Below are 14,178 nucleotides of genomic sequence, written 5' to 3'. Positions count from 1 at the left end.
TGGGCACGGACATTACTGTAAACTTGCTGGATGAGATCAAAACTGCTCCATGAGACAGACTATTGTCAGAACTTTTAATTTTAATAGTTATATTGGATGACTGGGAGGACAACGTTCTTAGAACTACCGTCTTCTGAGAAAGGCCCTTTACATTACTGAAGTCTCCTTTATCAACTAACCAAAATGTGGAACTTTTATAACTACATTCCTCTGACACAGCAGCAGTTTTCTAACTAACTGGGCTAAGGAAGGTGTCACCCAGAGACTTCCAGTGCTAATGGTGTTGATTTTAGTGGTGATAATATTTGCAACAGTGTTGTGACTATCTCTGTCTTCTAAGACTTATCAGGAGCTAAATAACATAAGTTGCAAAGCCCTGCTGTCTGCCTTTTACACAAAATTAGTTATACTATTGGTCAAATTCTACAATTTATATACTTGTGATGTGTTAATAATGTGCACGTTCATTATGACACAAAATACAAATAGTGTATTTCAAAAATCAGCCGTGGGTGGTGGCCTGTGCGTGCGCCTGTGGTTCTAGCTGCTCGGGAGGCTGAGGTGGGAGGATCACTGGAGCCTGGGAAGTGAGCCATGATTGCGCCACTGCACTCCAGCCTGGGTGATAAGAGTGAGTCCCTGTCTCAAAATAAATAAAAAATAAAATAAAATAAATAATAGTATATTTATCCCTGGATGTTGTGGTCATAAATGGCTTTTGCTATATATGCTGGGCTTTCTATGTGAAGATGATGCAACTATTCATAACCGGTGAGGACAAGTCTGCTAAGTACTTTTTTCCACAGTCAAAATGGGTTTTCAGTGATTCCTATGTGGCTGTATGCTAGAACAGGGAAAAAGACTAAAGATTTTAAGTTGTGATAATTGCAAAACAACTTGTATGGGGCAAACCTTTGCTCCAGTAACAATTATAAACTCTGAGCAAAATATAAAAAGCAGCAATTTGAAAGCCAGAAGCAGACAGAAACTAGATAGGATCCAACCCCTTAAAATAAGAAAATAACACTGAGTAAGCTCCGTGTTTATACGGCGTTTTCCACGAGGATGCGCTCCAATCCACTGCAATGTAGCCTTTTTTGGCTTGAGTTGTTAGAGGATAGAGAGTTCAGAGCTTCTGGTATCTGGAAACTGAAGGAGATCCTGGAAAGGAGGTAGGACCCAAATCTGGCAATAACCTCCTGTTAAATCTTTGGCTGACTTCTGAACCACACAGGAACCAAGTCCAACATGAAAAGCAACAGTTAAGAAGGCAGAAAAAACTGAGTTTCAGCTGCTATCTACTGCAGAGAAAACAAAGTTTGGAATTTGAGTTCTGCCAAGTGTGACATGCTTGGTAAAGATCTCAGTTCTTCTACAGGAACTTCAGAAAGACCACACATAGGAATATAGACTATGTATCAAGAATAAGGGACTCATAAAAACAAACTCATGGCCGGGCGTGGTGGCTCACGCCTGTAATCCCAGCACTTTGGGAGGCTGAGGTGGGCAGATCACCTGAGGTCAGGAGTTCAAGACCAGCCTAGCTAACATGGTGAAACCCGTTTCTATTAAAAATACAAAAAATTAGCCAGGCGTGGTGGCGTGCGCCTGTAATCCCAGCTACTCGGCAGGCTGAGGTAGGAGAATTGCTTGAACCCAGGAGGCAGAGGTTGCAGTGGGCTGAGATCACACCACTGCACTCCAGCCTGAGCAACAAGAGAGAAACGCTGTCACAAACAAACAAACAAACAAACGAAAAAAAAAAACCATACTCATCCTAGCAAAGTACAAAAAGAGCCTACAGAAGTTCAGCATCATCATCTGGTAATTTAACTGCCCAATATAACAAAGATGAATACTCTTTAGAGAAAGATAACATAATCCAGTGTTTCTACAACATATCATCCACAATGTCAATTATAAAATAAAAAACCACTACACATGAGAAGAAACAGGAAAATGGAGACCACATCAAAGAGAAAAAAAGTCATCAGAAGTTCACCCTGAGATGACCCAGAGGTTGGAATTAGCAGGGGAGGATTTAAAAGCAGCTATTATAAATATGTTTAATAACTCAAAGGCAACAATTTTAATGAGTGAATGGGTGGGGAATCTGAGCAGAGAAATAAAAACTATAAAAAAGAATCAAATGGGTATTCCAGAACTTAAAAATGAAATTATCTGAAATGAAAAATCCACTGACTGGTCTTAGTAGCAAAATGGAGATGGCAGAATGACTAGTGAACTTGAAGATGGAACAACAGAAATAGATCCATCTGGTGGACAGAGAAAAAATTAAGGGGGAAAAGTCTAGTCATCTATAGGACAATAACAAGTGGTATAACATATGTGCAACTGAAGTTCAAGAATGAGTCAGAAAAAAATACATGAAGAAATAAAAGGCCAGTCATTTCCCAAACTTGGTGGAAAACATCATCTTACATATTCAATTTACATCAGCAAACTTGAAGCAGGATAAATATAAAGAAAACTAAATCTAGGCACATCATAATCAAATTGTTAAAAAAAAAAAACAGATATAGAGACAAAAAGCAGCCAGAGGAAATGACCCATAACATACAAAGGAACAACAGTATGAATTTTCTGAGACAGAGTCTCACCCTGTCACTCAAGCTGGAGTGCAGTGGCACAATATTGGCTCACTGCAACCTCCGCCTCCCATGTTCAAGCGAGTCTTCTGCCTCAGTCTCCCGAGTAGCTGGGACTACAGGCGCATGCCACCATGCCCGGCTAATTTTCGTATTTTTAGTAAAGACGGGGTTTCACCATGTTGGCCAGGCTGGTCTCAAACTCCTGACCTCGTGATCCGCCCACCTCGGCCTCCCAAAGTGCTGGGATTACAGGCGTGAGCCACTGTGCCCTGCCTGGAGTGAAACCTTTAAAGTGCTGAAAGAAAAATTAATTGTCAACTCAGATTCCACTGAAAGAAAATAGCCTCCAATAACAAAGGAGAAAAAAATTCTTCAGATAAAACCTGAGATTGTGCTGCCTATGAGAAAAAATTCTAAAGAAAATTATTCGGGCTAAATAAAAACTCCAATCTATGGAAAGAAACAAAGATACTACAAATGGAAAATATGAGGATAAGCTTAACATATCCACATATTCTTCTCTTTATTTAATAGATACTGACTATTTGAAGTAAAAATGTAACAGTGTATTGTGGGGTTTAAGATGTATGTAGAAGAAAAGCATGATAACGATAGTACATAGGAAGGGAAATGGAAATGCAATTTAACTATTGTAAAATTCTTAAATTTAAAGTGGTATGATGTTGACTCTTAAGCAGACTGTTGTAAGTTAGAGCTGTATGTTGTAATTCTCAGGGCAACTGTGCATACATGAAAAGTATTGCTGAAAAGCTACAAGAATAATTCAAATGGAATACTAAAAAAATCACTGAATCCAAAAGAAGGCAAGAAAGCAGGAACACAGTTACAAAAAGCAAAATGCACATGGTACAAATAGAGAAGAAACAGCCGAAGAGCAGACCCAAACCTAGTCACACCAATGATTACGCCACATGTAAATGAACTACCCTCAATCTGGGTGGGCACAATCTAATCAGCTGCCAGCACGGCCAGAATAAAAGCAGACAGAAGGATGTAGAGAGACTGGACTGGCTTGGTCTCCCCCGGCCTACATCTTTCTTCCACGCTGGATGCTTCCTGCCCTTGAACATTGGACTCCAAGTTCTTCAGCTTTGGGACTATTGGACATTCAACCACTGACTGAAGGCTGAACTGTCAGCTTCCCCACTTTTGAGGTTTTGGGACTTGGACTGGCTTCCCTGCTCCTCGGCTGCAGATGGCCTATTGTGGGGCTTCACCTTGTGATTGTGTGAGTCAATATTCCTTAATAAACTCCTGTTTATATATACATCTATCCTATTAGTTCTGTCCTTTTGGAGAATCCTAATACAAAAGCCAAATATTGGTTCTTTTAAAAAATGAACAGCGTCGATGAACAGCAGACAGATAAAGAAAATAAGAAGATATAAATTACCAAAATCAATAAAATAGTAATACTAATCCGACAAACAGTAAAAAAAGAGACAATATCATAAGCAACTTTGAGCCAATAAATATAAAAACGTTGATAAAATACAAAATTTCTTGAAACAGACACAAAAAGAAACAGCAGATCTGAATACGCCTATATCCATTAAAGAGATTGAATTAGTTATCAAAAATCTTTCCATAAAGAAAATTCTTGGTCCAGACTGGCTAATTCTATTAAACATTTAAAAAAGAAATAATTAAAATATTATACAAACTCTTTTAGAAAATAAAATAGAAGGGCACACTTTCCATCTTGTTTTATAAGGCTAGTAAACCATAATGCCAAAACTGGAAAAATACATTTTAAGAAAATTACAGACCAATGTTTCCCATGAACACAGGTATAAAAATCCTTAACAAAAATATATTAAAAGGATACTGTATCATGACCAACTGGGGCTTATGCTAGGAATGCAAAGCTGGTTTAACATCTGAAAATCAACCAATGTATTTCACCATATTAACAGATTAAAAAAAGAAATACCACTTGACTATCTCCACAAATGCAGAGAAAAAGATTTATCTCATTATTAACATGGTTTTGGTCCTACTATTGTCATTAAATAGCTGTAAGGGCCTTGAGAAAGCCACCTAGCCTCTTTAGATTTAGTATTTCCATCTGTAAAATGAAAGTACTAGGCTCTCAACTTCCACTGTACATCGGCATCATTTTAGCAGCTTTTAAAAATGCAGCTGCCCACACCCCACCCAGAGAAATCCAGAAATTTCTATTTAATTGTGAATGAGGGCAAGACATGGTCCTAAATTCCCTAGGTGCTTCTAATAAATTGCTAGGTTAAGAATCAATGCACAATAAAATCCACAGAAGAATGATCCTAAGACTGCTTTCACTACCATAATATTTTAGGCAATTAATTTACTTTGTCATCTAGTAGCATCACTACAAGCACTTTGTGTGTATGCTTACATAGATGGGATCTTATACACACACATGGGTACATATATACATGAGTGTGTGTGCAAGTGTGCACATATTTTCTCATTCAATTGTTACAGACTTCAGCTGTTCCATATAGGCTTTCCATAATCTGGCTTCTCCCAACCCACCCTTCTCATGCCTTCCCCGAAACAACGTATCAGCACGGGTTCAACCGAAATGAACATTCTAGCGGAAAGTTAATACTGAGAAGCATTGTTCTGATTTCTAAGCAGTTTAAAGACAAAGACACTGTTAGATAAGGCTCATAAGTGATTTACAGTGCCAACACTATCTCTCTTTCCTCCTTCCCCACTTCTCTTTTTTTTTTTTTTTAAAGCCTGTGCCAGGTGATGGGGTAGGATGGCAGATACTTTGGGTTTAAATTCATAAAGTTATTTTGAAGGTGTTTAGGGGGCAGCAAATTGCCCCCTTTTTGGTTTATTCCAGGCTTGGTGGACTGATGTGAGTCTGGCAAACAGCTTGTTTAGAAGGCAAGGCTTATCCCACTGTTTATGTATCTTGAATGTCTAGGTTGATGACCCTAGTTGGTTAAAATATGATGCTGTTCTAACAGGCTCAATCACTGTGTTGGCCAATAAGATTCCTGGTAAGAAAAACTTCACTCCTTGACTCCAGCTGGAGTGCATATGTAATGAGAAGAAAGAGTTTTACACTGATGAAGGAATACAATCACCACCCCTGGATCAACAGTCAGACTTAAATAGCAAATGTGGCATGGGTTCCAAAGCTCTGTGATTTTCCTATACTGAAAGATTTCTCCCAACCATGGAGGAGCCTAACAATTCAGTCTTCAGGGTCTCTAACAGCACTGACACACTGGATGTTAATTACATTGTGATTGGAGCTTCCTTCCCAGACACTCCAGTGTACTACTTTCCTCCTTTACAGCCTCTCTTCTAACTGCCAATAAAAGAGTCCTCATGAGCTCAGCTCCAGCACAGATAAGACTGACAGAAGGTTCCGAGGTTGGCATTTGCAAAATCGCATGAGCATATAATTGCAGTACTGTCTCCCCATTTTGGATGGTTCACCTTCAGCAGGCTGTCAAACTTGAATCCCGGTTATTTTATCAGATGCCTGGAGCATGGAGTCATTCAACTTCTTATTGCTAAATCTTTGTTTTTCTTCTAAACTTTTGTATTCAAGGGACTGATAAGACTTCCTAGGTTGTGAAAGAAAGAAGCCAATTTTCTAAATACATAAATGAAAATGTAATTTGATCCTGCTCTAATATACTAATAATTTCAATTAGTCAAGCTTTTAATGTCTTTCCTGTGTTTGCTGGGAGAAGTCTCCCAAGCGGCTCTGGTAGAGGGAGACAGAAAAAAGCTAGACAATTAATTGCTCTTTGAGCTAAAGCACTTCTTTATGTTATTACAGGAAAAGTCAGAATTCAACTGTCTTGGCGCTGAATTAAGAAGAATCTTACCTTCTCGTCGATCATTTCTAAGAACTCGCACTTTCTCAATTTTCCCCAAGAGAGCCCCGTCCTCAGCTAGGAAAAGAAAAGAAGCAGAGCATTTTGAACCTGGAGTTCATAAAGGGCTTTGCATTCAACCATAGTATTCTCAATCATCTAAGGGCCGATTATCTCCTTGGGGCATCACAGAGGCACCTCTTCTTTCTGTGGATCTGATTTCTGGCTTGTTCACGCCTCATTAGCACCCCCACTACAGGAAGACTGGTGCCCAGAGAAGAGCCAGACACAGGGATAAAATCAGTGTCAGTACTCACGATCATTGCTGTAGTCATCCACCAAGATGATTTCTTTTATGAGATGGGGCGGGCTTTTCTTAAGCACGCTAAGAAAAGACAAGAAGATAAAGTTTATAGGTCTTTTAGGGGTATAAACTTTTAGCCTGGGGTAGAAAATTCTCATATGTTGGTCCTAACCCTTGGTTGGAGGAGCTACACACTGCACCCTGTGCTGAGCAGTCAGGAGACCCTGTCTGCAGCCCCCACTGACAGCCCTGGTCTGACTGTGCCTGGGACACAGCTAATGTCTTAACACCCCTGACAGGTAATGCATCTCCTGGCCTCACCTGACCACGGTCCTGAGTAGGGCCGACCTGGCTTCATTGTGAAACGTGATCACCACGCTGGTGGCCGGCAGATCCACCCGCCACTGCTTCCGCTGACACCTGCAGGAAGAGAAAGATGGTCCTCTGAACAATGACCCCCAGAGCAGCCACAGCTTGTTTAGCCCTTCAGAGAACAGGCAGACTGACCAACTGGGATGGACATGCTATGATTAACTTGTTATCTGCAGAAGTTCCTGGCCTGTTCTGAGATGAACTGCCAACGGGACATAAGGAAACAGAAAAACACAACCGGAGTTACGTTCTGAGAGATGAACGATTTCGGCAAAAAGTAACATATTGAGAACATCTTTCTAACACGTTAAAAAAAAGTGTTTTAAAACAGTGAAATCCCATTTCTACTCTCAAGCAGATACACCTCTAGAGATGCGCTTTTCACAATTTGCAGTCGTAATTTCCGAAGGGCAGAACCAACTGTGCGCCACTGCTCTTTTCTTGTTTTCTACATTGCCTACAACAAGCATGTGGTACTCCGGTGATATTTGGAACTTGGTTCTCACCACGAACAGCAGACCCACTGGAGGTTTTCCCTTCCTGGGACAGCAGGGATGCATGTCCCTTGCCCTGGAAGGCCATCCCCAAATACCCCAAAGGGCAGTGGTGAGATGAAGATGGGGAGATGGAGTGAGGGTACAGTCAATGGGACCCTGAGCCTGCCTGAGCTCTCCTCTTCCAGCAGTAGGGAAGAACCCTGGGATCACCTCTGCACAGAAGCTGATTCAGAGGCCAGACCTACAAAGCAGGTGCAGATTTCAACATGGCACCTCTCAAATTTGGGCTCTACAGACAGACACAAGACTAGAAGAACAGTAAGTAGCTTTTTTTTTTTTTTTTTTTTTTTTGAGACAGGGTCCAACTCTGTCACCCATCCTAGAGTGCAGTGGCATGTTCATAGCTCCCTGCAGCCTTGAACTCCTGGGCTCAAGTGATGCTCCTACCTCAGCCTCCCAAGTAGCTGGGATTACAGGTGTGCCACCACATCCAGCTATTTTTTTTTATTTTTTGTAGAGATGGGGGTCTCACTCTGTTGCTCAGGCTGGTCTCGAAATCCTGGCTTCAAGCAATCCTCCCACCTCAGCTTTCTGAAGTGCTAGGATTACCGGCATGAGCCACTGTGCTCAGTCAGAATAGCTGTTTTAAAAAATAGCTGATAGCTATAGGTGGAAGATGCTAAAGTATCATATACTAGAAATAAGCAGTAAAGGTTTACCGGGCTCAGCAGAACCCATCAGGAGGAACCCTTCAAAGCAGGGTCTACAGACCTAAGAGCATCCTAGTACAGAGCAATGTTCCCAGAGAATCCTGAGAGAACAACACACCTGGGCAGGACTGACAGCCCACGAGGACTTCTAGAAACACTTAATTTCTGGTTTGACTCCATTCAGAGTTACTAAATTGGTAATACTACTGATACCAGCTTGGAAAAGAGGCTTTGGTTTCAGAAAAATGGTTCTTAAATGGTGATGTTGATGCCCCGTGGTCTTGAGGATGAACAGTCTTGCCTGTGAGGCGGCAAGAGGGGCCTGTTTGTCTGTCCCATGCCAAGGTTTCCTCCATGCTGGCATTTATTATCTGCACAATGTTCCTGCAACTCTAGCAGTTAAACACACTGGCACCGGAATTGAAGCAGCAGAAAATCTTTGCTGGGGCTCCGAAAATGATACCCCAAATTATATTGCTTTGGCATGCTGAGTGCTTTGAAAGAAGGAGATTCACAGACCTCAGAAATAAGCCTCAGAACCAAGGTCTCTCTCTGACCTTCTCCTCCCCACCCCCTCCAACTTCCCTTCAGAAGCACAGGGAGGGACTTTGTCTCAAGTTCTCTTATCTGACTGAGGGAAGTTCATCCAGAAGATGTGCAATTGTCTTGGACCCCCTCTCTGGAATCTACATTAACCAGAGATTAACTCATATAGCAGAAGAAACTAAAAGCCCACACCAAGACCCCACTCTTGGAGAGCCTTTTCACGTATTCTTTCAATTATTCTTCTAAAGGCTGTCACCTGAGAGATTTATCTGCATGATAAAATAACCTCTGTTCACAATAGAGTTCTGCCCCTCGCCTTCCCATAACTTGTTGCCACCTCCCCGAGACCCTGTGGAGGAAATTTGTTCCCGGCTATTGTCTGCATTTCCATCCTAATCATCTCCCCTAAACATCATTTACTCTTCTAAAATTGCCTACATCCCTCACTTGCCTCTCCCCTATGCAGAGAGTATTTAAGCTTCAACCATCTGGCCCTTCTTTGAGTCTCATATTTTGTGTGGCTCCTGTGCACATTTGCACATTAATAACAAATTTATTAATCTATTGTCAGTTTATTTCAGCTGACATAAAGATTCAAACCTTCAGATGGGGAGGGAAACATTCCCTTCACTCTTATGCCTTCCAGGGGACCAATACATTAAAAAAAAATTATTCTGTAGGTTTTTTTTTCTTTTGAGACGGAGTCTTGCTCTTGTCACCCAGGCTGGAGTGCAGAGGCACAATCTCGGATCATTGCAACCTCCGCCTCCCGGGTTCAAGCGATTCTCCTGCCTCAGCCTCCCGAGTAGCTGGGACTACAGGTGCCCATCACCATGCCTGGCTAATTTTTGTATTTTTAGTAGAGACGTGGTTTCACCATGTTGGCCAGGCTGGTCTCGAACTCCTGACCTCGTGATCTGCCTGCCTTGGCCTCCCAAAGTGTTGGGATTACAGGCGTGAGCCACTGTGCCTGGCCCTAATATAAGCCCACTGTAGCTCTTAATATTGTTTGCCAGAGCCATGAATTATCTGCCCCCAAAATTAGAGATAATATCTCAGATGGGAAATCAGTGGACGAAGGAGATAGATTAAAAATATATATATTTGGAACTCAGCCATCGCTAAAAACATTTAAGGAGTTAAGAACTAAAGTGGATGGTCTAGCAGCTGCCAAACAATGACCAGCAATTTCACAGCAATGGCCGCACCTTCAGAGAAAGTGCTCAACAGACACTCGTTTTCCCTCGTGACTACTTCAGAGAAGTGAATTTTGAAAATAAACATGAAAAGCAGTGCAATTAAAAAGCAATTAGGTCAGAATCACAAAATGGGCTTCTTTTATTATAGTTATTGTTTTAATTAATCATGAGAAATTGCATAATATACTAGTTTTTGGGGGGAAACTGTTCACGGTTGTCTGGGGGAAAAAAGCAGGCAGGAATTAATATCGCACCTCATTAGAGCTCCTGACATCTAAGTCTTTCCTGACAAGTAGACTGACAGGCTGGTTTTTCTTTCTTTTTTCCAATTTTAAGAATTAGCAGATTGTTAGATTAAGGAAGTGAGAATCTGCAAGACTTCATCTGTAAACAAATTACCAAAGAATGTCCTTCCCAAGAACCCAATCTGTAATGCTAATGAAATAAGGACTCCGCGTTAGGAGGCAGCTATCCTCTGCAATTAGGTCCCACTTAACACAGCGGGAATTGCTGAGACGAGCAGACCTAGGTTGAATGACTTACTGAACATGAGCTTATGCAGCTATAGGAGAATTTAAAAAGAGACATAAGGCAGCATTTTTTCATGCTACATCATAGTAAACGGAACCGATCCAATCATGTCCTATTCTCTCGGTTTCCTTTTCTCTGCAGGAAGCCTCATCTCCCAGGAGCATTTGAAAGTCTCACGGGGCTCTGGAAACGTTTTTCAGAACACGCAGAGCTGCTGCATTCGTATCATTTTATTAAAATTCATCTACATATTCATAAGGCATCCATTTTTGCTGAGAACTGGCATTCAGGAAACTTAAGAGGGATCCCATTTTTTAAGGCAAAGAGAGATAAAAAGTAAAAACTAAGAAATATTTTACATCCCAGAGTTAGAGTGAGTGTGTGTATGTACATGAATTTAGATAATAAGTCCTCACATTGAGCCAAGAAGGTGGGGTCGGCTTGAAACATGTCTTTAAAAAGAAAAAGAATAAATTTTGTATTTAAAGAGCCATATCCCTGCCAACCAGTCTTCACTACTCCAGAACTAGTGAAAGAACACCCAATATAGTAACTCAACAGGGGAGCTGGCTGCCAGGGGCACTTTCATACTTGAGCTTTCTTTGGGAATCGAGTAGAAACTGCAGTTTATTTGAAGTCAGCGGCAGGAACAGTGTGCAGTAAGGTTTGTTCTACCAGACGACGCAGGCTAGAAGCAGTGACTCTGAGAAGAGTGGGCGGGGTTTCGGGCTGACTTTGTGGGCTCAAGTTCACTTGAGTGTCCAAGGCTCTGGTGCTAATGTGATCATTCTGCAAACTTCCTGTTCGGTAAAATGGAGGCTTTAAAAACTGGACATGTAAAGATCTGTTTTAAGAATCCTTTATTTAGCTTTAAATTTCTCTGAGATTAGATGGCTTTCAGTACCTGAACTCTTGGTTAGCTGGAAATGGAAAAAACTGGTGAATCTAAACCACCACATTGTATAGAGAGTCTCTCAGGGTAGAAGAATGACTCTGTCTTTAGGGCAGACGTTATACCTGGGCTTGATCAAGACATTGATGAAATAACCAAACGCAAGCTCTTTGGACTGGGAAGCTCCAGCTTCTGTCCAATAACACAGAAGGCTGTTTCACGGTGTTGGGAGGAACAAAGAAATAGGTTTCCTTCTCTACCCTGGGCAGGCCATGCCCCACCCTCACCCCAGGTGACCTAGTGTTTTTGCAAAGGGCCCTTGGTAACCTTGGTTACTGTGTAATGTGTGACAACTAACATCACTCCTCATCTGTGAAAATGGCCCTGACGATCTTGCCTGATTATTGGGAACACCAAATAAAAACGTGTGAAAAAGGACTCTGAAAACTGTCAAGGTCACTTTAATGAATGCAGGCTTATAATTTGCATTTGGCAGCTGTGTGTCAATGGTGACTGGGAGGTCAGAGTGGAGCTTTCTCTAGCAACTTGGAGAGGCAGCCGATGAGACAGGCTCTGAGACATCTTCCAAGTCCACATGCAGCAGCGGCTCCAAGTAGAGAATACACTGTCAGTTAAAGGGACAAGGGTTCCCAGGCCTGCAAGAAGGGCTCAGGAGATGCAAAGGTGGGAGAAGATGAGGAAACATATTTAAATAAACTCTCTTTAAGAAGGAGAGTTCAAGAACCTCTACAAGGCCCAGAGAGGGGATGTGGCCAACAGTAAGACCACACTTCTTATGAGATAGCCACGAAGACCAAACAGAGGGTCATGGGAAGGAAAAACTCCTAGATGAATATGCACCATCTCCCTGAACTGCCCTTGTAATTCGGATTTTGTAAGGAAAATACTACACAACTTAACTGATTATTAAGTAAGCATTAGTTTATGCCTACACAAAGACAGGATTCTATCACGGAAGAGATGGGGAATAGATACTGTCAAAAATAAAAAAGGAAAGTTATAAACAATGCCAAGCCTCCACAGGCACTTTCTGGGTATCCAGTGCTAAGGGGCATGCTCAGTTCCTCCCTGAAGGAGGCAGGCACTTCCAGTGGAGTCCCTCTAAGGGAGTTGTGTGTTCTGATTAGGACTGGAGTCCTGTGTAGGAGCAAATCTGCTGGCAATGGGGCTCCGAAATGCTGGTCTCCACAGCAGCTACGTCTAACTGCGTGTCTATGAGCAGGCATTTGGGCTGTGGCTCAGGTTCCCGTGGAAAAACTCCAGGACAAACAACACGAGGATCATGCAAGGTCGTGGTATTTCCAAGGTCCTGATTACTGTGCTATGTATTTACAAATTATCATACTGGCAGTCTGGATACATTCGATTTGTAAATTGAGTTTGAGTCTGCCCCTGAGATACAAACCTAGTTTTCATCTGCAGGCAAAAAACTAAGAAAAAAAAAAAGTTTCTGGGTTTGCAAAGCTGAGGGGCAAGTCTTAGACTGCAACAAATTTACCAAGGCAATGAGCCTCCTGTGGCCTCTTGGCAGCAACTGACATCACTGTGTGTTTATGTGAGTGAAATATTTCACGCATAAAGTTTAGAGATATTATAGAAGCATCCATGTACCACTCTGCTTGCCAAGTCTTAATATCTTGCAATACTGGCCTTTGATTAAAAAAATTTTAAATAAAATGACACATGACAGGATGACAGGGAATAATTACAGCCCTTACCTCAATCCTCATCTTCCCCAGGGGCAATCACTATCTTGAATTTGGTGCTTCATTGTTACTATGTGTATTTTAAATAAACTACCCATGTATGTATTCATAAATTATACCAAGCATTTTTCTGCACCTATTCGAAGTTTGCAGGGATGGCACTGTGCTGTGACTTGGTGTTTTCACTTTTTGGGAGGTGCATCTGTTCTGACACACACAGCTCTGTTTCATTCACCCTCACTGCTACACTGCTTTCCATTGTAGGGAGGAACACACCACACGTCATCCCTTTTCTGCTGATTATCAATTCTCTCCATTAGAAACAACGCTGCAGTGGACACTGTCTTTTTACACAGCAGAGAAAGTTTCTCTGCATTATTTACCCACAAGTAGGACTACTGGTCATACATTATGAACCTCTTCAACTTGACCTGACATAGCCAACTTAATCTCAAGTGGCTGGACCTAGTGTCACTCCTGCCCGGACCTGCATGAGATCATCCTGCTCTGTATTCTCACCATCCCTAGGTATCACCATGTTTTAAAATTTTGCCAACCAGATTGGTATGAAGTAGTCATCATTTTAACTTTCATGTACCTGATTACTAGAGAGGCCACATATCATCTTATATGCTTAGGAGCTGACTGGATGGTTTCTGCTGTTAACTGTTTATTCATGTTCTTTGTCCATTTTTTGATTAGGTTTTACCTACTATTTGGCTGTAGGAATTTATATGCTCTGGACATTATCCTTTGTCAGCCAGAAGCATTGCAAAAATCTCTGTGGCAGATGCTTTAATTTTGTTTATGATGCTTTTTGTCAAACCTACGTTTTAATTTTGAGTTTTCAAACTGTGACCCTGGGGTAACAATGTTCAGGAAAAGCTTTCTTAACCGAAGGTCATTAATATATTGTGAATTTTATTTCAAATGTTTAAAC

The 14,178-nt window shown here is 41.5% G+C and overlaps 1 protein-coding gene across 3 annotated transcripts in view; it reads right to left on the bottom strand.

Annotated features, from left to right (window-relative positions):
• Positions 1–14,178, bottom strand: part of GALNT2 (polypeptide N-acetylgalactosaminyltransferase 2) — a 224,334-nt gene that overhangs the window by 38,925 nt on the left and 171,231 nt on the right. For all 3 annotated transcript variants that reach the window (NM_001291866.2, NM_004481.5, XM_017000964.3), the window contains 3 exons: positions 7,086–7,184; positions 6,778–6,845; positions 6,473–6,538 (listed from right to left, as the gene is read on the bottom strand). In NM_001291866.2, the coding sequence (NP_001278795.1) occupies positions 6,473–6,538; positions 6,778–6,845; positions 7,086–7,184 (233 nt within the window). The remainder of the gene's footprint in view (positions 1–6,472; positions 6,539–6,777; positions 6,846–7,085; positions 7,185–14,178) is intronic.

This window comes from Homo sapiens, chromosome 1, assembly GCF_000001405.40.
Source record: "Homo sapiens chromosome 1, GRCh38.p14 Primary Assembly".
In the NCBI taxonomy this organism is placed as follows: domain Eukaryota; kingdom Metazoa; phylum Chordata; class Mammalia; order Primates; family Hominidae; genus Homo; species Homo sapiens.
This window is presented reverse-complemented; position numbering and strand designations above follow the sequence as displayed.